At 38.1% G+C, this 25,284-nt stretch overlaps 1 protein-coding gene across 22 annotated transcripts in view; it reads right to left on the bottom strand.

Moving 5' to 3' along the window:
- The window catches only part of L3MBTL3 (L3MBTL histone methyl-lysine binding protein 3), a 122,858-nt gene that overhangs the window by 60,200 nt on the left and 37,374 nt on the right, over positions 1-25,284 (bottom strand). For all 22 annotated transcript variants that reach the window (XM_047419407.1, XM_011536184.3, XM_047419410.1 and 19 more), the window contains 6 exons: positions 23,742-23,833; positions 21,099-21,203; positions 14,751-14,886; positions 12,818-12,909; positions 10,112-10,263; positions 2,605-2,681 (listed from right to left, as the gene is read on the bottom strand). In XM_047419407.1, coding sequence (XP_047275363.1) covers positions 2,605-2,681; positions 10,112-10,263; positions 12,818-12,909; positions 14,751-14,886; positions 21,099-21,203; positions 23,742-23,833 — 654 coding nt within the window. The remainder of the gene's footprint in view (positions 1-2,604; positions 2,682-10,111; positions 10,264-12,817; positions 12,910-14,750; positions 14,887-21,098; positions 21,204-23,741; positions 23,834-25,284) is intronic.

Raw genomic sequence — 25,284 nt, 5'->3', positions numbered from 1 at the left:
CCATTAAAATATTAATAGAGATAACTGCAGTTCACTCTAAACTTAAAAACAAGCATGCATTAATGTATAATTTGGATAATTCAAAATAAAAATAGTTTTAAAAGGCATGAAGATTTTAATTTCTGAAAAGAACAATAAAGAGAGGCTGCGTGTTTAGAAAGAACGGAAACGTGGTGGTGGCCTAGAGGGCAGCTTAGTGGATGCAGAAATCTGTGAAGTACAAGGGGGTGAAGGAAGCAGCTGCTTAGGAAGCCCAGTGATTAGAATCCTTCTTTTCAGACAGATCAGAGATGACCCAGGAATCTGCCCTTAGAGAAAACAGATCAGAGAAAGGGTGTCTTTTTTGTTATGGGGCAAAGAGTAGCATCAGCACATGCCCAATAAATCAGTCTCACAATTTGGCAGTTTTGTTTGTTCATTTTTGCATTTTTTAATAGTGGCAAAATATACATAACATAAAATTTACCATTTTTACTATTGTAATGGCATTATGTATATTCATATTGTTGTGTATTTGGTATTTTCACATGCAATTTTGAATTTTTAAAATGTGTCAAAAAGCTATTTTTTTTTTCTCTTCGACTGAATTATAAACGTCCAGGAAAGGAGATAGATGGCTTGGTTCTTTGCCTCATGTTAAGAAGTCGGCAATAACGCCTTACACCACTCCTTCCAGGGTACATAACCAGGAACCTGTTGTTGTTCACTGGTTCATTGTTAATTAATCAGATCTCTGATCATGACCAAAAATGGTGGTACGGAAAGAAGGGCTGATAACAAACTGGGAAATCTAAAAGGATCCTCACAGCATTTTAGATGGTGATAGTGGCAAAGAAGCAACCATGGCAATCACTGGCCACTATTATTTTGTAAGCCGCAGGACAGACAAAGGAAGGTAGAATACAAGAAATCTTCCAGGCAGCACTATGTTTGGCACCATGAAACCATTAATACCTTGCTTTCTTTTTTTTTTTTTCTTTTTTCTTGAAACACTGTCTTGCTCTGTTGCCCAGGGTGGAGTGGCATAATCATAGCTGGCTGACTGCAGCCTCAAACTCCTGGGCTCAAGCAATCCTCCTGCCTCAGTCTCACAGACAGCAGGGACTATAGGTGCATGCCACCTCACCTGGCTGACTTAAAATTTTTTATAGAGACAGGGTCTCACTATGTTACCCAGGCAGGTCTTGAACTCCTGGGCTCAAGTGATCCTCCCGCCTCAGCCTCCCAAAGTGCTGAGATTATAGGCGTGAGCCATAGGTGCCTGGCCAATACTTTGCTTTAACCCTTCATGATTTATATCAATGCTGTTTCACTGTCAAAATAGTACTGTAAATAAGTCAAGACAGAGACTTTCCTCCCTTTATTATATGAGAAAACTCAGGGAGTGGATAGGACTTGACTTGCCTGTTACAGGAATGATAGGTCCTCCTGAGTGAGTAAATGATCAGACACTCTAAGTGAGACACTGTATCAAGGAACTGGAGACAAACGTAAAAATGAAACCAGCTGTTCCAATAGAATTTGAAGCTCTCCAATCTTGCAGCTTACATGCTGCAGGCTACATTCGAAAACAGCTCCTAGTAAACCCAGGACTCATCCTCTCTCTGTAATAAAGGCAATCTTCATTACTCCTGTAAGGGTCCACTAAGCAATTGTCTACTGCGCAGGGATGCTTTCAGTTTGATGATCCTGTCTTTTCATACCAGGAGTGGTCATGGCCCCTTGAGTAGTGATGTACGCACAAATACACTGTCTTGATTATGAAGAAACCGCAGAATCTGTTCTTTAGCACATAAAATAAACTCAAAATGATATAAAACAAGGACACTATTTATCAGCAGTTACACTGTTCCCCGTTAAAGAGACAGCAAATAAGCTGAGAAGGCTCTATGACTAGAGGCAGAGAGCAGAAGCGCCTGAAAACTTCAGAGAACACAAAGGCACCACTAGCATGAAGGTGCAAAATCTATTTTGGAACCAGGAATCACGACAGAAAAAGGAAAAGTGAGCGTGTGAGTTCTAAACTAAGTAAAAAAATCTAAAGCCTCAATTTCTCACTTAAACGTGAACACTGTGCTTCTGTGAGGACTGATGCTGACATGAAGTCTGGTCTCCAATCCACACACAAATGCTGTCCCTCTTATCCATTTTTCTGGACTTGCTCAAGCCTTAGACAATTTGCTTCTATGGTTAGACAATATATTTAAATATATACTAATATAAAGTCTAGAAATGAATTTCAAGTTGAGAAATGAAAGATCTTTTAAAACAGAACTTTTTTTTTTCCAAGAGAGACAAAATTTGAGACTCTGTTATGAACTAAGGCAATACTTAATATAGTTGAAAGTACATCAGCGGTGAGCAAACTAACGCCTGCAGGTTGGCTGCCTGTTTTTGTAAATAAACTGTTACTGCAACACACCCATGCACATTGGTTTACCTATTGTCTATGGCTGTTTTTGCACTACAACTGTTTTGAGTAGTGGTGACAGAAAACTGCATGGTCTGCAAAGCCAAAATATTTACTATCTGGCCCTTTACAGAAAAAGTCTGCCTACTCTTGAAGTCTACGAATAGTATTAGCCACATTAAAAAAACACACACCTGGTGGAGTAATAAGGGTTCTTCTATGTTCCTTACACCAACCAACTGGATGAATATGTGGACTTGATGCTTCACACCTGAAAGTTACACAAATTAAAAAACTGCAATTATCAGGATAAACTCACAAAAACTAGTAAAATAAAAAGAAAACTAGAGATCATGAGCACTTTACAGAGAGTTCTATTTATTACAATCAATCTAATTTGGAAAAAAATGCTAAACCAAAGAACTTTTTAATATATTAATACCAAGTGGATTTTTATTAGATAAACATTATATGGATTTGACACCATGCAATTTTCTTTTCCCCACAAATTTTGTTATATCCTGTAACTTCAACTACAGCAAAAATGCAAACATAATATCATTAAAATTTATAATTTAGATTCATTAAAATCATGTGGAACAATAAACTTAGACTGTGTGTACATAGGAAAACTAAAATTATTTCAGTATCGCTAAGGGCAAATGTACAAAGGCAGGAAGCCCAATCATCCTTAATAACCAACATGCTATTTCTGTTACCCATTAGAATAACAGAGACCAGGTATTAAGACAAACTATTACTCTCTTTTCTTTACCTCTTTCTTCTCCTTTCTGTCATCTCTACTACAGTCAAGCATCTATTTTTCCAAAGCCTCTTTATCAGCATGCATACCTGGTACATCTAATTCCTTGCTCCTAGTCATACTTTTGCCATGTTTTTCTCTTCTCAAAATGCAACATGTTTCAGCCTATTAACATCATATGGAACCCGAGTGTTCTGCAGAACATAGTCTGGAAAATGTTGGTCTAAAAGATGCCAAGGAGTCCAGTCAGTTTTGCTATACTAACTAGGAGGTCTGTTGAGTCCATACTGAGATCAGGAAATCTCAACACAGCCCTCTTGATGGGAAACTAGAAGGCAGAGAGCCAGGAAGGTAACAGTGTGGCTGGAGTTTCCAGGGAATAAGGAAGTCTTATGAATAGTGAAACAAATAATTTTCTACAAAATATCGTAAGTGGGTGAGATTAGCACACAGTCAACGAAGCCAAACTTTCTAAAGGCGCAGCCTGGGACAATAATACATTGTGAGTTCATGTAACCACTACTGAATGCTGATGGTTCTCAGAACTTACTTCAGTAGAAAATATCTTTTCCTTATTACTTAAAGGCTTCTTCCTTTATTCAGTTGTTATCTCATACTGTTTCTACCACAAACTATTTTTCTGGTCATTATTTTAGGAATATGAAAAAAAACCAAGCACTGCTAGGTCAATGCCAAGTTCATGCTGCAATCACTATATTTTTTACAATACATATTTTCATAAAAGGTATTTTAATACATAATTCATTAAGATGCACTTTTATAAATTATACAAACAAGGCTATGGAGCTCTACTTCCAGATATCCTAGTGTTTTCCTAAAAAAAATCATTTTGGTTATGGATTACTAATGTCTTACTGCCTTTATTTTAGGGAAGGATGTTAATTCATAGATAGCATCATAAAAAATGAAAAAATAACATATATATAATATTTAATTTTTTCCTTCTCAATCTAATAGAACTTAGAGAGTAGTTTTTATAATTATCTGTCGGACTCACAGTGTTTATTTTAAAGTAGAAACACTGAATATTACTCTTTGATTTTGCTGGATATACAAATTGCAATTAAGGAAAATACTGTGGTCTCTTAATGGTCATTCATTCTTGTACCATCTGAATCTAATATAAAGTTTAAATAATATCTAGATATTGATCAAAGTCGCCACTTAAAACAAAGAAGCTGCCTCAATAGAGAAGATAAAAATATTACTGTTTTTATCTATTTTACTTATATTTTCTTAATAAGCAAACAACACTTCACTCAAAAGTTGGAAGGCTGTGATAGCCTTCTGCTACTATTGTAAAACAAGTCATCTCTTAGTCCCATCTAGTGTTCAAAAGTAGAAACGTAACTGAAAAGAAATATGAAGAACAACTAAAGGTAAAAAGTATGACAAAACACTGATTGCTGTACTCTTCCTTTCTTCTGGGTTTTTATGTATATCATGAAAGAAGCCTCCATTTCAAATTTTTGAAATACATTTCATGTGTAAGTGCAAATTATTCATAATGACTGCTAAGACCCAATGAGACTCAGACGGTAAATTCTAAAAGGGCCAGAAACCAAAGAAATAACCTATTTTAAAAAAAATCCATGCTTATAAGGATAAAGTTAGGAGACATGAAGATCCTCATTTTATGGAAATCAAAGAGGTTAAGTGATTTCACCAAGCACTCGGGTAGAAAAGAAAGGGATTCTGGTTTTGTCAGTCACAGCCAAAAGCTAAACAAAAACTAATGCACACATGCTGGGCTCTGCAGTTTCAGCCAGAGTCAAAGGAGAACATTGCAAGATGCTTACTTATGGAAAACATCAAAGTCTCTCCATTAAGCAAGAGTGGTTTAGATTATTTGAAGAAATACAGGACACTTGGCTTCTTCACTGCCTATAACACAGACCATGATGACTCTACCAATTTATTACTCAGTACCCAACTCTCCTGGCTCCCCTTATATGTGAACTCTTCAGGGCCTCCATTACTCTGCACTTTACTACTAAACCCCAAACCTCATCAGCCCGAGTCATCAAGTGATCCTTTCCATCCCTAATTCATGTCCAATTCTATTACCCACAGTAGCTGTTTGAAATATTAATTTGCTTCAAGCTTAAAATCTTTCATTAACACAACGAATACTTGGAAGAGATAAAGGTGATAGCATCTCATCACCCTCGTATCAAATTTTCCTTTTACTTCTTCATTTTCTCCAGGCTGAGTGAAAAGAAAGTTTATTTCTTCTTGAGGCTAGCTGCTCCTAGGAGACTTGGTGCCACCTGTATTACCCATAGTTTCAGAAATCTCCACTCTCTCCCTCCACAGTGGCTTCCTGCCTTCTGCCTAAAAACCAAGCTCAAAAATGCTCATGGTGCAGGGAACCCTCCTTAGAAGTCAACTTCCTCTTAAGCAATAATCCATTTGCCTTCAGCACTAAACTTCTCTGCTTAATATCCCTTATCACTCTTCAACCTTTTGCAAATCAGTTTCTGTTCCTAAAACTCTTATTTTAATCCCCACGACACCTGATGGGACAGGTATTATTATCAATCCCTTTCAGAAGACAACTAAAGTTTAGAAGTGTTAAGTAATGCACTGAATAAACTGGCTGCCATTACCCAAACACATCCTACCCCTGGGCCAAAACACAAGGAAGTGCTTTCCTTAGCCAAGAATATTCCATCCCAACCTCTAAGTACCCATTCCTTCTTGGTCCAGCTCAAATCCCCATGTCCTCTAAGAAGCCCTCCCCAAGAGCCCTCCAGTGAGCTTGAGTCAGTCCTTCCCTCCAAGTGCCATCACCCCTCCAAGTGGTTGGTTCTAAAAATTAAGCAATAACCACCATCTAGCCCTGCACTCAAGACAGTGGTGTTTAGTTTCTCTCCTTCCCCAGACCATGAGCCCCCCAGAGTTGAAGTTCAGAACAGCCCAGGTTCCATTCATCTCCACGGCCTTCCCATCACCACCACCAACCAGTGCTTCCCAAATTTAACCAAATAGTGACAAGCCTATTAACTGACACTGCTCTAAGAAACTGACAACTTTTCAACATGATTTTAGGGAGACACATAAAATTACTACTGCTGTTAATCTGTAAATGTAAAAGAGATTCATCTCTAAAAAAAAAGTTTACACTACACTTACAGGCAATCAGGAAAAGGCCCACTGCTACATTTGTTCTAATTCACTAATAACCCTTTTCTTTTTCACAGATCTTTTTGTTACGAATTTTTGCCCTGACTCCACTGGGACACCAAAGTACAATGGAATAAAAAATGGCTGAAGCTGCAACCTCATTCATTTAGGCCTTCTACTAAACAATGGACCAAATCCTGTTGTCAATCCTTCCTGGATCCCAAAAGACAAGGGTACATGAAAATAACATTTTTTAAAAGAAAGGTTCCTTCCTAGTGCCTGGAAGAAAAGAGGTGACTGTTCTCTTTGTGTTCTGCCCCAGAGCCCAACCTTCAGGCAGATAATCAGGAAGGAGGCTGCAGTGGCGGGAGGACAGCAGTAACCTGGAGGTACCCTCCCCGTGGTACTGACCTACCTTCCTGGGTCCCTAAAGTTCTTTCTAGTGGCAATATTCTATTACATCTAGGATTATTCCTAAATCTAACAACTGTCAAGGAGATAGAATCGAACAGCTACCAACTATCAGTAACAAAAGCACAGAAGAAACCCAGAGGTGAAGCCATTTTTATTCTAATATATGCTATTTTCCTTTCATAGAAAGCTACTTTTTCAGTCCTACATAAATTTTTATCATGTTCCTCTTTGGAAGTTAGAAATGTTTTATTGCAACTAAACATGTAGTAACACAAATGTATACAGACACATATATATTTTCAAATTCCCACTAATGTAAAAAAGAGATAAAGAATTACTATTCAAATCAAAGCAAAAAATATCTCATTTCCAAACTATTTTAAATTGGGAAAGGCAACCCAATCTGTAACCTCAATTACATACCTAAGTAATTTATGCAGATAAAAACCATTCCAAAATTCAAAGATCAAAGAGCATAATATTTAGTAAAAGTGGAGAAATTCCAGAGCACTTAAACAATTTCCATTGCATCTTAACTGCATGTTGAGGAAGAAAACACACTGTTTTCGTTTTCAGAGAATTAACAAAAAATGATTTCATGTCAGTAGCTGGAAGTCTAAGTAATCCTCAAAGTACATTCCATCCTAAAAATAATTAGTTTGTGCTCATAAAAGCACAAAACTCGAGTTAAAAGAGATCAATTTTTTTCTTTTCTTTGTATTTTTAGAACCCAGGATCTTTTTAGAATCCAGGATCTTTTTTAGAACCCAGGATCCTTCCTGTTTGTTCCCTAGACATTTGGCATCGAAAAATGAACATGGCGAATTCTTCTAGACTCTCCCCTTACTTTTTTTCCACATGAATGTTTTCAAAGGCAACGCATCTTATGTCAAATCAGCAACTTATACCTTTAAAACACTGTAATACTTATGAGGCCACAAAAATAAACTGACATTCACCTATTTTGTTCAAATCAGGCAAAAGCTTTAAAAAAATCCTCCCCAAATAAACCTAACTTTAAAAACAAAATATTCTCATTTCAATAGATTCTAGTCATTGTTTTAGCGTTATTTATTAAGAAAAGGCCTGGAGCCCAGTTATCGCCCTAGTAGTGCCATCATCATAGCCCACCAAGCACAGAAGGAGACAAACAGGTTTGATTCAGGACAGATTTAGACTGTTTCCAAAGTTAAAGTTTTCTCATCCACTCACCCATTCAAAATATGTATAGAAAATCTTTACTGTTTTTGAAATTTTTATGTAGAGTCAGGGGTCTTGCTATGTTGACCAGGCTGGTCTCAAACTCCTGGGTTCAAGTGATCTCCCACCTTGGCCTCCTAAATTACTGGGACTACAGGCATAAGCCACCATGCAGGCCCAACAATTTTAAGTAAAACAAAAACCACCAATTTACAGTAAATAGGAGGAACAGAAGAACACAGTAAATAGGAGGAACAGAAGAACACAGTAAATAAGATGAGGTTTCAATCAGCAAATCAAACTGTGAGACTCAACAGTACAAACAACCTGGTGTCTTTAACAAAAGCTACAATCAACGAGGAAGAAAGGAGAGGAATAGGTATCTGTAAATTAAACGAGGTCAAGCAAGGTAATCACAAAGTGTACACCTTATTGGACCTAAAACCATCAAGCTAAAAATAAACAAAAATCCCACTAAAACAATAGGGAGAAATATTTAAGTATGTTAGTAATATCATAGTTATTATTATATTTTTAAAAATAAAAATAATTCCTCTCTTTAGAAGATATATACTGAAATGCTCTGATATCTGTCACTGATTTCGAAACAATCCCAGAGTTGGGATTTTAGGAGTAGGAATACAGAGGAAACATACTGGATATAAGTTGATAATTGTTGGTGCTGAGTAAAGGTTGCAGCAGGGCTGCTCTATTATTCTACTTTTGTATATGTTAGAAATTGACTGTATTTCAATGAAAAACTTTTATTATAAACTGAATATAAAGATGTCCTACAAGGAAAAATTATGCTCTGCAGAAAAAAGCTGGGAAAAACAAACAAAATATTCTAAAGCAGAGTCATGCCTTGGTATCAGCAGGAGATGGTGCCAGAAGCCCCTGTGGACACCAATATCTAAGGATGCTCAAGTCCCTTTTACAAAATGGCATAGTAATTGCATATAACCTACACACATCTTTCTGTTTACTTTATCTCCCTTATACTTTAAATCATTTCTAGATTACTGATAATACCTAATACAATGTAAATGCTATGTATTTACACAGCATTTATACAATTATTTACGTAGTTATACTACGTAAATAATTGTTATACTGTATATTTGTATTTGTATTATTTTTATTATTGTATTGCTATTTTTCTTTTTTTCATATTTTTGATCTGCAGTTGGTTGAATCCATGGATGTGCAACCCACAGATACAGAAGGCCAACCGTACTTGGGTCTGTGTAATCTAATCATGGAACTAACTGTCTACATTTTTTAAAAATTCTGCAAAAAGCGTAGGTAACATATAATAGAAAGCATTTTAAAAATATGAATAGCAAATGAATTTCAACATCTCTTCTTTTTTAAACAATGCAAGTAAAACTAATGAGTATCTAAGAATCCCATCTGAGAAGTAATGGAAATTATCAATGTGTCTACTGAATGTTTAAATATATGGATACTAAAAAATTAGGTCAAAAAACAAACCTCCTTGATATTTAGCAATATTTATATAAGTTAATATTCACTTATCCTATAACACAAGTTGTATTTTATAAAGATATCTGTTACTTCTCTAAAATATTCTCAATTCAAGTGTACTCTAGAAGGAACTAAACACTTTAGAAATGCCTTTTACTAGGAAACTGAATTACAGCAATCAATGAACATGAATTTGGTATGAAAAATCCTTATTTCAACTGTTTAATCAAAATATAATGGCTTTATTATAATTATTTTATAATTATATAATTGTAAAATATGTTGCTTTTACAACTTTGTGCAGGATATCTAAAAACTGCAAGGATTAAAAATAATATTCTTCAATATATTTTGTAGTCAGCTATTACGAATGTTTAAATTAGCTGGTGGGCATGAAAATAAGAAGGGAAGATTAAAATACGTGTGAACATATGTTGGGAATGTGGAGTGTGCAGACTGCACTTCCATAGTAGGAAGTCAACTAAAATACCAATCACAAAGCAAAATTAAAGGATGTTATTTAAAATATATCCCATATGGAACAGGTAAAAAATTAAAAATCTGTAACAGGAAAAAGTGGGGCAGAACACTGCTTTTTTTTGTTATAAGCGTTGCACTATTACTGTTTTCAAACCATTTACTTGGATAAATATTAAATTTTTAAAAGCACACAACAGAAAATGTCTCACCAATAGTCATAGCTCTCATCCCAGTTGTCAAAATGTACCAGGAAACGATTGTCCACCATATCTGTTACCGTAGCAACACAGATGAATGAGGGATTCTTTTTGTCTACTGCCTCAAGCTTCATACCAACTCGAAAGCCCGATGGGATCACTGTCTATGGAAACACACAGATTTAATTAGAGATAAGCACACACTTGACAACCACAAGAACTGCACACTCTCTGCACCTCCTGCTCAAAGGCCCAGCATCCACTGCTGTATTCACATAATTTAAAAATCATATGCCAGTTTCACAGCAGGGTCGCTTTCCAACAAGCCGCAAAAAAAAAAAAAAAAAAAAAAAAAAGGTCCTACTGTTACACCCAATTAGCTATCTGGGCCTCAAAACGAAAATATCCATCACCTCACAGAATTTAAAATAATTAATTTTAACATGTGTTTTGATGCCTTAATTAGAAAACTGTAATAGGTAGGCAAGTTTTATTCACCATATAGTTCACATTTTATCCTTCTTTTCTTGATTACAGACTTAACAATGAAAATTATTCACACAAAATATGCACTTAATCAAGTTAAAAATGTGCATGAGTCAGTACAAATTCACTCCCACTTCCGAAAATATCTCTCAAAAGAGTACTCTCGAAAGTAGGTCATCTTCATATATGAAAGGCTGCAAATTATTACAACTTTTACTCAACACTACAGATATATTTTATTCCTAATAGCAGCAAAAGAATTGGCTGTTGATGTACAAAGCTATTCAAAATAGTTGGTAACTTAAAGAAATCCACAGATAACCAGTCATTCAGAACATGGAACAAAAACAATGAAAGTTCTGTAAGAGTTAGTGCTTAAGGTACAGTAATATATAAAATCTCTTACAATCTTTTGTGAGGAATAATATCTTAATCTATCTATCTCTACATATTATAGACTAGTATATCTAGATACCAATTATGCAAATCACAACACACTACAAGTCATTCCTTCCCTAAAAACAAAACAAAACAAAACAAAAAACAAAAAACAAACAAAAACCTCTGTTAGACTCAATTATACAGATATTATTCTAACTACTTTAGGCAAAATAAATGCTATCTCTCATTTTACTATAATTATACAACTATCATTGCAAAAATGTAGACAGCCGTGTATCTGAAAATGTTAGAATAAGTTGTGTCTGAATGGATAGAACAGGCACTAATGCTATACAGAAATCTTTACTATGCATTTAAGTACTGAAATTTATCCGAGTTCTGATCATAAATGTTTGAGTATTCTGAGGTAATCTAGAAATGGAAAAATTAATTGTCTCTTAGATACGAAATGGAGAGCCCAAGATTAAGTTGTATGCTGGCAATGCATAGAATTTAGGAAGACCGTTCAAGGCAGTTAATCAAATCCCTGACTGAAGTCATCATCAGAGAACCAGACAGGGATTAGGAAACTTGGAGCAGAGACAGCAGGCTGCTAAGTTTTCCACCCAACTGACCTTCCTCCCTGGGATAAGTTTTGACAGAGAATACCAACTGACAATGCACTGTTACACTTTGGCAATTACACTATCCTCTCAATTAAGATGTTTTAAAATAATAAGCTGGCCCATTAACACTATTACTAACCTAAACACACATACGCATGCACACAAACACAATGTGTCAGTTCTGTAATCCAACCTGGTTTGTGTTTGATTAAATCAGAAAACATTTCAGCCATTAGATTGATGCTCTCAAACCAACTGGTTAACACTGTTTCCCAAATGAAGGATTTTTGGAGTGAGGAGGTTTCTCCTGCTCTTGATATTTATTTATTTCCATTTGAAGGGAATGCTGTTAGTGAAACATTACTGCTTCTCCCCACTGTCTCACTCACTGCTACCAGCCTGGTGACTCTGGAAAGGAGGAACTGATCATACTAGAGAGAAAGCTGGGCTGCAGGGTGCACAGTTTCCACTCTGCTCCTCAAGGGTCTAGTGTTCTCCAGGCTTGGGGGATGGGCGTGAAAGGCGAATTAAATCTCTTCCATTCTAGGGCTCAGAATCAAGCTTATTTGTCTGCAGATACAAGCCATGCACGTCCTCCAACTCAGCTCTGACCATCTGTAAAGATGGCATTTTGGTTTTCCACTGGCTTGCCCTTTATTCTTTCCAATTAGATCAGAACTTGGGAAAAGAAAAATGTCATGGATCAAGTCGGCCAATGGAGGAACATGTTATGGAAAGCAGGAATACCGGTCAAGTAGAAAAGACACGCACATCCAGATTTTGTTTTTGTTTACTGTAAACAAAGCTATAAGCTAGAGTGAAGATATGTCACAGTCTCCAGTGACCTCCTACATGTAAACTGAAACAGGGCTACCTTCATCTGGCTATGTGAATCCCATTTGAACAGCACTCCCATATAAGTGATAATAACAATAAAATATCTCAGCCAATTTAATTTTTTATGCATCTTAATTGTAAATCTCACCTGAATCTTGTACTATCTTGTCTTCTACTATGCAATAAAAGAGACAACCATAATATGGCTATAAAACATATTTGTTCATGAAGATTTTAAGCTAATTTTAAACTTTAATTAAGATAAGAGTACTCTATTTACCAAGGCGATAAAATTTATTATAGTTCCTTGTTATCACTTGTAATTGATCCTATGAGACACTCAAAAAACTTCTTCCTTTGAAAGAAAACGTGTTTCGTATGTACTTACTATATTCTGATTTTCAAATAATGACTTAGGAGCAGCTTGAGCTTTACATGTCTTAAGATAGGTCTGCCAATTGAATTCTTCTTCTTTATACCCTAGAGTAAGCACATATGAACAGATTGATTCAAATACCACAATATTTTACACTTAGTTTTCCAGTCCCACTTTTATCTCTAACATGCCAAAATCAATCAAATGACTTTTTAAATAAACAAAATTTAACTCATAATTCATAACTATGCATATTTAGACTATGTTTATTTTCAACAAACTGTATTATTATTTTCCAATTCTGAATGAATGGTAATGGATATAAAGAAAAGGAATAAGGAAACAAATATGTATTATACCCAGGACACTTATTATCAGGGTATTTGTACCAGTATTTAGGTAGAATTCCTCAGCGGTATAGATACTGAACTACAATAGTCAAAATTCTTTATTTTTCTCTCACCTAGTCTATTTTGGGAAGACTAACTTATAGGAACAAGTGGAAAGGTGGAAATAATAGAAATGAAACAGGTAAAATCTTTTTGGCCTATCACTTCAAGAAGGACAATTTAAGGTTTATGAAGTAAGGATGCTGGCAAATTACAATAAGGGAAATGTCCTCCCCTTAATTTTTACAATTTCATTGAAGTTAACATTTCCTTTAAAAAGGAAATTGAGCATCTTATTTTATCTGCGAATATGCTTTATTTTACATTCATTAAAGTCCAGAAAGCAGCATGAAAAAACCAGCTAATAATTTACCATATATAAGAGATCAATTCGTGAAAAGGCTTACAGATTTTCTTTTTCACCCTCACTTTTTCTATGCTATTTTGTTGAATCCTTCAGCTATCTGAAAATACCACTCTGCCATTATTTTTTCACTTAAAACAAAGGGATGGCTAATGCATTAAAGCCCTGAGACAGGCCAAAAATATCAACCCAGTAACCTGAATTTTTGACATAAACAAAAATCAATGTAATGATTGAAATAGAAGGGAATAAGATATTACTAAATATGGCCGGGCACGGTGGCTTACACCTGTAATCCCAGCACTTTGGGAGGCCAAGGTGGGCAGATCACTTGAGGCCAGAAGTTTGAGACCAGCCTGGCCAACATGGTGAAGCTCTGTCTCTAATAAAAACACAAAAATCAGCCAGGCATGGTGGCAGGCACCTGTAATCCCAGCTATTCGGGAGGCTGAGGTAGGAGAATCACTTGAACCTGCTAGGCAGTGGCTGCAGTGAGCCAATATCACACCACTGCACTGCAACCTGGGCGACACAGCAAGACTCCGTCTCAAAAAAAAATTAGGGAATACTTTAGGCAGACAGTGAAAAAGACGATATCTGTTATTCTTGAACTTTGATATAAACATGAAATAGGAAAATCACTGGGGGACTATAATATAAAGTACTCAAATATAAGAAAAGTAATTGCTATGAGTTCAACCCCCCACCTAAGCCAATTTTTAGTGTTACAGTCTTCTTGCCAATCTCCTAAATATTAAGATCTATACGGTCAAGCATAATTTCTCAGGATTTTCTATATAATGAAAAACTGATTTGAAAAATTAGTTTAAACCAGTTAACACTAAACTTAGTTATATAAACTAATTTAAACTAATTTTTCAAATCAGTTTTTTCAAAGATGTATGTATTTAATAATAGAAATTTGCAGGTAAACATTATTTGTAGTCAAAGTTGAGTATCATGCAAATGTTATTTTACATGAAAATAAGCATATGAACATACTTTATTTTCCTAGGCTGGATTCTGCTTTTATTTCTTTAACTTTAATAAACATGGTTTCATCATAAACAATAAGGTTAAATTTGTGCCTATCTGAATTTTCATAAAGTCTGAATTCTTAACAATTCTAATGTAGCATGTAAGAAAATGAGTTTTTACTGAATTTAAAATATCAAACAAAAAGTGACAAAACCTTTTGGAGGATGGAGTTTGTGGCCGGTTTTCTCACACCACCCAACTGGGTGGATATCCAGAGCGTCTGCATTCACCCAGAAGTCATAGCAATCAGAATACCCATCAAAGTGAAGCTTTATCCGGTATCCACAAACCTGAAACAGGTAAAATAGGTTGAATTATTTTTTTTAACTCAGAATATTCATATATATATATATATACACAAAAATAAACATGGACACCAGGCATGATATAGTCTTAATGTTAATCAAACCACCCACATTAACAGTAATAAAACAACTAAACAAATAACCAGAATCTAAAGACAAAAGCTATTAAAGTGGGAAGAGCTGAGCTGTGGCATTCTGGCAACATTCTCAGTTACATTACAACCACACGGATAGGGGGCAAAGCATAATATCCCACAATTGCAGGTCCTTTCTCCACTCCCTATGTTGTACCAAGATGTGTCCCCAGGGTAAGCTGGAAGGCACACCAGCACAGCACACTCAGCTCTAGCATGGCCCCAGAGTGGACAGTCTGCCCTGCACTGAAGGCTGCAGACCACAGCTGGTGCATATGCACAGAAGTCAAGCTTTTTTTCTCCACCAAAGCTGGGTTGGAAGAAAGAAAGAAAAGCGTCTCTCCTAGTTTATTACTTGGATGAGACAGGCTCCTAAGAATGCTAGTAAGAATGTACTCTGTATAACACATGCCATACATATGCCTACAGGGCCCCACTTAGAGACATTCTGATTTAGAAGGTCATATAGGCTTACGAGACCTGAGTTGGATCATACCCTGCCCTGGATTCTTAGAGAGAGGGTTCAGCCCCTGAGACTTCTTCCCACTAACACAAGAAGATGTGTTCAAGTAGAAACACGTATCACGCCAGACCTCTACCCGCTCCAGGAGTGTCTGTCCTGCAGAACCCTGAATGATGAACTTAGACCAGAGTGCAGAGCCAGGGCAATTAATCCTCAAATAGTGAGGTAGCTGTACAGTTACTGTCATGGAAAGTTCTCTAAAACATATAGTTAAAATTCAAGTGGTAGAACACATAACACAGAATGAGTTAAGTTTATGAGAAAATTAGACATGTGGGGGTCCACATGTATTTATGGGTATATGATTATGTATACATATGTGTATTATGTGTATATACATAAGTATATGCATTTATATACATACATTAATATACACACATATGCATACATATGTAAACACATAGTAAAAAGAAGTCCGGAGGTATATTTGCCAAAATGTTAATAATGATTTCTTCTAGGAAGTGGTAGTGAAAAGGAAGGGGCAAAATGGGAATGATGGACTTTTCATATTTTCTTTTATGTATCAGCATTTTTTCAATTAGAATGTATTGATATACCACATACATCAAATTTACAACTAAGCTGACTCCCCCCAGAGAGAACAGAGTCTCTCCATACAGCTGAGACTGGAATCCCTGGGAAATACAATCTCTCAGGTAAAGCAGGAGCTACCCCCACTCCCTACAGCCACCCCATGCAAAGAAGGCTGCTTCTCTCCTCTCTCTCACAGTCAGCTATATCTGGCCGATCCTAAGAGCTCAGCCCTATAGTAATTTACAGCCTCTAGTTCCTTGTGGGCACACCGTTCTGAGCTTCTGCTCCCTTGAGCCAAGCTCTCTCTGTTCTCCCCATAGTCTCTATCTCAGGCTCACCGGAAAGCTATGCTTTGAGAAACAATCTCCTACATCCTCACCCTCCTTGCCCACAGTCATACCTAGCTCGTCCTTCTCAAGCCTTTCCCCAAGGGTGCTCATGTTCCCAACTCTACCTCCCATAGACACAGGACGGGTTGCTGCCTCCCACCACACCATGGATCCTAGGCCAGTTCTCCCCTGCCGAGGCTCGAGCCATATGGCTGAAGCAACTCTCCTCCTCTTCTTCCCCCATGCTAACCACCCAAACACTTAGCCCTGGCTTATTCTCTTCCTTTCCATCTGAGTACTTTCGTCATCCATATGGATGACTTATCCAATACCCTGGCATTTTGACTCCCTTCCTCTCTACTTCAAGCCCTCACTCCCATGAATCTAGTCCCCAACAAGAACTGCTCTGCTTCTTAGTATTAAATTTAAAAATCCAACCCTGGGACACATACTCCTATTCCAGTCTGCAAACCCAGTTACCCCCAGATGCCTCTTCCTCAATCTCAACAGAAACTCTAGTCTCACACTGATCCTTTTACTTCCTCCCTAGCAGCTCTCCTCACCCCAAGCCTTCCTTTCCTAGCAATCATTTAAAAAACATTTTCTTGCCAACATTTTAAAATTTCTGCCCTGATATCCTTTGCAAAATATTTGCCTGGTGACATTCTATCATTTCAGGTATCCATCTTGTCTCCACCTAACCAAGTCTAGTAAATGGTGATGGGAAGGAAAAAATGACATACCGCCAGTCTTCATTATTCACATACTGTATTCCACGTTTGTGAAGTCATCTACTTGCTACAATTTATTTGTAACCCCAAAATAATACTCGCAGTGTTCGTGGACATGCACAGACTGACAACACTTTTGAGTCACTCAACATGCATGTTCCCAGCTGAAGTCAATCAAGAAGGAGCTTTACCTTCCTGTTTCAGTTCTCGTACTGGGAATAAGTGTCTTTTGTGTGGTCCATTTAGTGCCACATATTCTACATTTTTGTGCTTTTCTTGGGTGATGTTACTGTTTAAAATGGCCCCTGACATAGTGCTGAGGTGTTGTTTAGTGTCCCTAAGTGCCAAAAGGTTGTGATGTTGCCTTACAGAGAAGATACTTGTGCTAGATAAGCTTCATCAGGCAGGAGTGATAGTGCTCTTACTTGTGAGTTCAATTTTTAATGAATGAACGATATACATTAAATGAGGTGTCTTTAAACAGAAACACACATAAAACAAGGTTACACACTGATCAGTAGACAAAAATGTGACCAGAGGCTCACAGGAAGCTAACCCTCTATTTCCCCTAAGAGCAATGGTTCCACACAAGGTAATTTGTGGAGCGTAACTACTGCGAATAATGAAAATGGACCAACAAAAATCAACTCCACCTGAATGCTGGGCTTTGCCACTGCCTAGCAATTCTCCTAGATGGTCCTGTCCAACTCCCTCTCCCATTCTTCACTGTGGTCTTTTCAAATCCCCCTCCTCCTCCTTCAGCTTCTAATCCCACTTTCTCCATCCTCACTCTCAGCCAGTAATTTGCCTTCTAACCCAAAGAAGGTTTCCCAAATGTGTGCCTCCAAACAGACAAGCCTCTCTGTATCCACGAGCCCTACTTCTTCCTGCTCCGCCTTCCTGTTGTAATGCAAGAGACTCCTCCTTCTGCCTAAGACTTGGATCTCCACATATACTCTGGGTCCCATCTTCTCCCAGGCCTCTTCTCTGAATCTTCCAATACTCTACTCCCTAGTGGCTTCTTCAGAATTCAAATACTATGTTGTCTTACCATTGCATTGCAAAGGGGCGAAAAAAAAACAGAAAAAAAAAAAAAGAAAGGCAAGAAGGGAAGGAGGGAGGGAGGGAGAGAAAAAAGAGAAAATTAATATGAAAAGGAGCAATAAGCATCAAAGATTTAGATGTAATTTATATGTCCATACTTTTCACCTTGCAATTCTAGAGATAGATCCTAGACCTACTTACAGAGGTAAGAGGATGCTCACTGGACCTTTTTTTTTTTTTGAATAATGAAAAAATGAAGATCACTCAGTTGTTCAATATGAGAGCAGTTAAATGAATTAAAGTCAATTCTATAAAATGGAGAACTACCCAATGGTTAAAGAATATGTATGCCAGGTGTGGTGGCTCATGCCTGTTATACAAGCACTTTGGGAGGCCAAGATGGGAGGACTGCTTGAGCCCAGGACTTCAAGACCAACCTGAGCAACATTGCAGGACCCCATTTCTAAAAAAAAAAAAAAAAAAAAAATTTAGCTGGGCATCAGGTGGTACACGCCTGTGGTCCCAGCTACATGGGAGGCTGAGGTGGGAGGACCTCTTGTGCCCAGAAGGTTGGGGCTGCAGTGAGGCCATGTACACGTCACTGCACTCCAGCCTCAGTTACAGAGACGGACCCTGTCTCGGAAAAAAAAAAAAAGTGTGTGTGTGCGCGCGTGTGTTTGTCTGTGTGTCAAAAACAAAATGCAGTACATATTTTTATACACAGAGAAAACATCTGGAAGGCACACAGTCAACTGTTAAGGGTCATGCTCTCTGGGATATGGAATATGGGAGGAAGGAAGGGGGATCTGAAACAGGACTTTTATTAATATGCACTCTTACACTATTAATAGTTGAAGTTTTCATAATGAGCAAACATTACTTTTATAATAAAAAATAGGGAAGGTAAAATAAATCTGCAAAAACCAAAAGCTGAAAAACAGACACATATCATAAAAATTCCCTTTCTCTTCTATAGCTAAACTTCTCAAAAGCAGTCTATACTTACGGCTTCCTCACAATGATTTTGTAAAACTCAATTCTGTCCCCAAACACTCCAGTTGCCATGGCGCAAGACACAATTCCCTCATGCTCCTTGAGAACAACCACAGCATCTGACACTGCTGCTTCTTCCCCACTTAAACTGCCTGCTCTCCCTGGTTCCTACTGCAGGCCCCTCTCCTGGTTCCTTTCTCTGTCTCTCGCTGTTCCTTTTCAGGATCCTGCTCTATTCTTTCTCCTGCACCCACCTCTTAGATGATGGTATTCTTCAGGGCTAGCAACTCACGCCTTGCGCTCTTGCTGGGCAATATCATCCACTTCAAAGGACAAACACAAATCATCCACCAAGAAACTCTGACCCTCCTCTTCCAACTCAAAAGGGTCTAACAAAAACTTGAGTCCAGGAAGGAGAGAACATACAATGTCTGATCAAGTTTGAGAGTGTCAGTATTCTCACTGTAAATAAAATCTACACAAATGTTCCACAACAGTTTTCTGATATGAGTAAGAGAATCCAGTTATTTCCTTTCACTACTTATTACATTATTACAAGCTACAAGTTCCTTTAACACTCAATGCCCTCAGGTTTCTCATCTGAAAAATGGGAGGGAAAGGGTTCTGCCTCAAAAGGTTGTTTTGAGAACTAATAAAAGCTAACAGATGGGCTGGGCGTGGTGGCTCACGCTTGTAATCCCAGCACTTTGGGAGGCTGAGGCAGATCACCTGAGGTCAGGAGTTCGAGACCAGCCTGGCCAACATGGCGAAACCTCATCTCTACTAAAAATATAAAAACTAGCCAGGCAAGGTGGCACGCGCCTGTAGTCCTAGCTATTCAGGAGGCTGAGGCAGGAGAATCACTTGAACCTGGGAGGTGGAGGTTGTAGTGAGCCAAGATTACACCACTGCACTCCAGCCTGGGTGACAGAGTGAGACTCCATCTCAAAAAAAAAAAAAAAAAAAAGAGCTAACAGATGAAAAGTACTTGGATTAGCCGCTGGCACATAGTATGCCCTATGTAACCGTATGTTATCATTGACTGAGGCTGTCATTATCCAGCACATGGTACTGTGTTCTGCAGAAGCCAACTTTCTTACAAGTTCACAAGGTAATTAAAGAATAGTATAATACCTCAAACTAGTACACAAGACTATTTTATTCTTTTGGGAGGAATTTTTAAAATAGATATACCTCTGGCTCAAGGGAGGGAGCAAGGAGAAGGCTAGCATAGGAGGAAACACATTTTTTAAAGTACTCTCAGTAATATATGTATGTATAATTGACTTGGTCATTTTTTCCTGAAAAATTTTATACAGATACCTTAAAATACTAAAAAAAAAAAAATAAGTATCTGTTGGTCTGTTCCTTATGTTAAGGAACACAGTATGGCAAAGCCTATAGAATCAGACAGACATGGGTTCAAATCCTGGTTCGACCACTTTGAAGCTGTGTGGTCACAGTTTTTAAAGTACTCTCAGTAATATATTAGACTGAGATATATATTCATATATTTGGCTTGGTCATTTTTTTCCTGAAAAATTTCACAGAGATACCTTGAAATACTAAAAAAAAAACAACACACACAAGTATCTGTTGGTCTATTCCTTATGGCAAGGGCTATGGCATCAGACAGACACTGGTTCAAATCCGGGTTCTACCACTTTGAAGCTGTGTGGTCTTGTATCCATCACTTCATCACTCTGAGCCTCAGTTCCCTAACCTACACAACAGAGCTTGAGAAAAACCACAACATGCACAGGATTCTTACAAAGATTAAATGAAATAATGCACACAAAACAGTAAGCACCATGCCTGGCATGAAATACAACCAATGGCAGTTTTTCCTCATTTTAAATCCCCATAATCACCATTTTATTTTAAAAATAAAGGACGAGGCAAAGCTTACCTCCGCGACGGTGAGGACACAGTACACAGACTGATGCTCAGGATCCACGCCTTCTAATTTCATGCCAACTTTGAATCCATTTTTGTTATATGGAAAGGATTGATGCTAAAATGCAAAATGAGAGCAGTTTTAGTCCCTTATCCCAAAGCCCTATTTAAAGATGTAAATAGTTACCATTTTAAAAATAAAGACTATTTAACCAAATACATAACTTCTAAAAATCCAAAGAAAAAGAAATCAATAAATAACCCACTGAAAAAATGGACCAAGGCTACAAATAGGTCCCAGGAAAGGAAATGTAATGCCATACACCCTTTGTCTTTTACATATTTGAAAAGATGCTCGACCTCATGCAGAAGAGACATACAAAGTAAAATTACACTAAGATATGTTTCACCTATCAGGCTGTTAAAGATCAAAAAGTTTGACAACACTGTGCTGGTAAAGCTGTAGGAAAACAGACACACGCATACATCACTAGGAAGAATGAAAATTGGTACAACCTCTAGCAATTTCATAAAATCAATCAAAAAATTCTTTTTGATACAACAATTCTAACTCTAGGAAATTGTCCAAGAGATTCTCACACATGTGAAAAATGACTGGTATAGAAGATTATTCAGTAAAGCATATAGCAAAAGATTTGAAAGTATACATGCATGTATGTGCAAATCAATAGGGAAGAACGTAAATTATTACAGAACAGGCCTAAGATGGAATACTATGTATTGCTATAAAAGAATGGTGAAGAGATTCATGACTCAGATAGAAGCATCTTCAAACTGTCAAGTTAAACAAAAAAAGCAAAGTCCAAAAAGTACACAACATATGTTACCATAAGGGAAGGATCTGTGTATATATATATTGCTTATATGAACATATAATTTTCCAGGAAGGGAATATAAGCACTGGTAACACTGGTTACTTCAGGAGAGGCAAATCTGGTGCCTGGGGGGGCAGGGCTATAAGAGACATTCTTTATACTATTGTAGTACTTTTATATTTTGAATCACATGCATTCATTACTGATTCAAGGAATTAGCTACATTTAAACTTTTTTTTTAATGTGAAAAAGTCTCTTCTCTAAAGGACCAAAGCTACAGAAAATAATTACAGAGAACAAGTTTATATGTAATTACTACTATATTTAAATTAAATATTCTTAATGCAGATGTAATCGTCCTAACATTTACTAACATTTACTATTCATCACTTTTTAAAAGCTTGCTATGTTCACACCTACATAAAAATATATCTATGACAAATTAATTACATACCACGATTAAATATAATGAAATAATTTAAACCAAGGTTCAGCAAACTCCAGTCTGCGGGTCAAAGCCAGTGCACCATGAGTTTTTGTAAACAATCTTACTGGAACATAGCGATGCCCACTTGTCTACCTATTCTCTATGGCTGCTTTTGTGCTACAATGACCTAACTGAGTCGTTGCAACAGAGACCACGTGCTCTGAAATGCCTAACATATTTACTATCTGGCCCTTTACCAAAAAAGTTTACCAACCCTTGTTTTTGTATGTGTTTTGTTTGTCTGTTTAGAGACAGGGTCTTGCTCTGTTGTCCCGGCTGGAGTGCAGTGGCAGGATTGCAGCTCACTGCAACTTTGAACACCACACTCCGCTATATTTTTAATTTTTTTTTTTTTTTTAGAGGCCGAGTCTCACTATGTTGCTCAGACTGATCTCGAACTCCTGGCCTCAAGTGATCCTACTGCCTCAACTTCCCAAAGTGATGAGACTGCAGGCAGGCATGTGCCACCACACCCGGACCCCAACTCTTGGTTTAGTCCAGGGACATCAACTGCTACTCAGAACTACATCTGATATCTATATTGTTAACTGATTTTAAATCACTTATGATAAAACACTTTTATTATAGCTAATATAATATAGTGACCCATTTTTAGATGTTTTGCTGTGATAATATGTAAATCGTAGTAACTCATTTTTTTTTTTTTTTTTTTTTTTTTTTGAGACGGAGTCTTGCTCTGTTGCCCAGGCCGGACTGCGGACTGCAATGGCGCAATCTCGGCTCACTGCAAGCTCCACTTCCTGGGTTCACGCCATTCTCCTGCCTCAGCCTCCCGAGTAGCTGGGACTACAGGCACCCGCCACCGCGCCCGGCTAATTTTTTGTATTTTTAGTAGAGACGGGGTTTCACCTTGTTAGCCAGGATGGTCTCGATCTCCTGACCTCGTGATCCACCCGCCTCGGCCTCCCAAAGTGCTGGGATTACAGGCGTGAGCCACCGCGCCCGGCCAGTAACTCATTTTTAATCTCTCAAAGCCACAATGTTGACATGAAATTTCCTAACATTTTTTCTTCATCTGCTAGTGTTTCGTGGTAGTATTGGTATCTCTGTTAAAATTCATGATAGCAAGCCCATAAGATGCTGAGAGAGAAGAGCACACGTGTGTCAGTGTGCACCCACACATGGCACATGTGTGGCACATGGGAGGTACGCACAAGTCAGTGTTCACTGCCCTCCATATAAACACACGCATGAAAACTGTATGCTGAGAAAATGATCCCAAGTCAAATTTCAGTGGAAACAACAATCGTAATTCAGGCTGGTATCCCAGCTCCTGCGCCCTTACAGATCACGTCTCTAGAAGGGCCCGTACCTCCTTGAACAGCTTCGCCGGCACTGCCACCGCTTTCTCCTCTTCCAGGTAGGATGCCCAGCACCACGCTTTCTTTCCTTTAGGAGGCAAACCTGAAAGGCAAGCAAGACGGAAATGACAGAATTTCCAAATCTAAGCCAGCAGTGATGCATCTGTGAACTCACACGTCCCTGACTGATACGCTGCCTGGCTCTTCTCTGACTTCCAGGACTGGTATCTCTGTCTCTCTTCCTGGCTCGTCTTCCCAAGAACCAAGATAAAAAGTGAACTGTGGTTTGCACCTACAGTGAGGAGGGTAGAAGATGGAAGTGGAAGTACTTAGAATAAAGGAAGAAGACAGCAGGAAGTCAAAACAAAACACTACCACAGAAGCTACAGGAAGGGAGAGCTTCTAGAAGCAGGATGCTCAAAAAATTTTCTCTAAGAGATCAAGAAGTTGAGGACTGTGGAAAGGCCAGTGCATTGAGTGGCTGCTAATCTTGAAAAGGAAGGAAAACAATCAGTATAGTGAGAAGCAGATTTTTAGGTGCAAAAAGAATACATAAGTGATAAAAATAATAGAGGCAGTTAATATTAGTTTTATATATTTTGGATTAATTTGACAAATACTGGAAATGAAGGAAAAATGTAATAGCCTGATGGGTAGCAAAGCTGAGAGAAAGGTACTTTGGGGATGAGACTGGAACAGGCTAAGGTAGAGTATACAAAGAGAAGAAAAAAATCGGAAAACTTAAGGAAAAAATGTGACTGAAGGAACAAGGTCCCAGAAGAGCCAGGGGCCTGGAAGTTCATCTGAGGTGAAAAAGAAGGGCAGGGGAAATGATGGTGAAAGAAACAGACATTTGGAGGCAGAGTGCAGAGGAACTGAGGAATTTACACCCTTCATCTCAGTGATGTAAAATAGAAGGTCATCTCTGAAAAGACACAAAAGTTAAGCTGTGTGCCTAGGGCAGGTGGGGCTATTTCCAGTTTTTTGAGGAATTAACAGAACAAGGCTAGAATGCACCCCGGCACTGAGGAGAAGCACCTGGTTCATGGCCCTGGTTTGTCGGGACAGTATGACTGACTGTGCAGGCTGCAAGCTGAGGCAGGCAAGGGGATAGAGCCTTGTGGGGGACATCCCCCAGGGCCTCTATGGAAGTGACCCAAGGTCCACACAGAATAAGCAGAAAAGTACATCAAGACAAATACTAAAGGGAAGGGCTTCAGGGCCGGTTTCCTCCTGGAAATAAAATGCTGCCTGAGGAACAATGAAACAAACAAAAAAAAGGGCCAGGCACAGTGGCTCATGCCTGTAATCCCAGCACTTTGGGAGGTAGACACGGGCAGATGGCTTGAGGTCAGGAGTTCGAGACCAGCCTGGCCAATATGATGAAACCCCATCTCTACTAAAAATACAAAAATTAGCCAGGCTTGGTGGTGCACACCTGTAATCCCAGCTACTTGGGAGGCTGTGGCAGGGGAATCACGTGAACCCAGGAGGTGGAGGCTGCTGTGAGCCGAGATTGCGCCACCATACTTCAGCCTGGGTGACAGAGTGAGA

The sequence above is a fragment of the Homo sapiens genome, chromosome 6 (assembly GCF_000001405.40).
Source record: "Homo sapiens chromosome 6, GRCh38.p14 Primary Assembly".
Lineage (NCBI taxonomy): Eukaryota > Metazoa > Chordata > Mammalia > Primates > Hominidae > Homo > Homo sapiens.
This window is presented reverse-complemented; position numbering and strand designations above follow the sequence as displayed.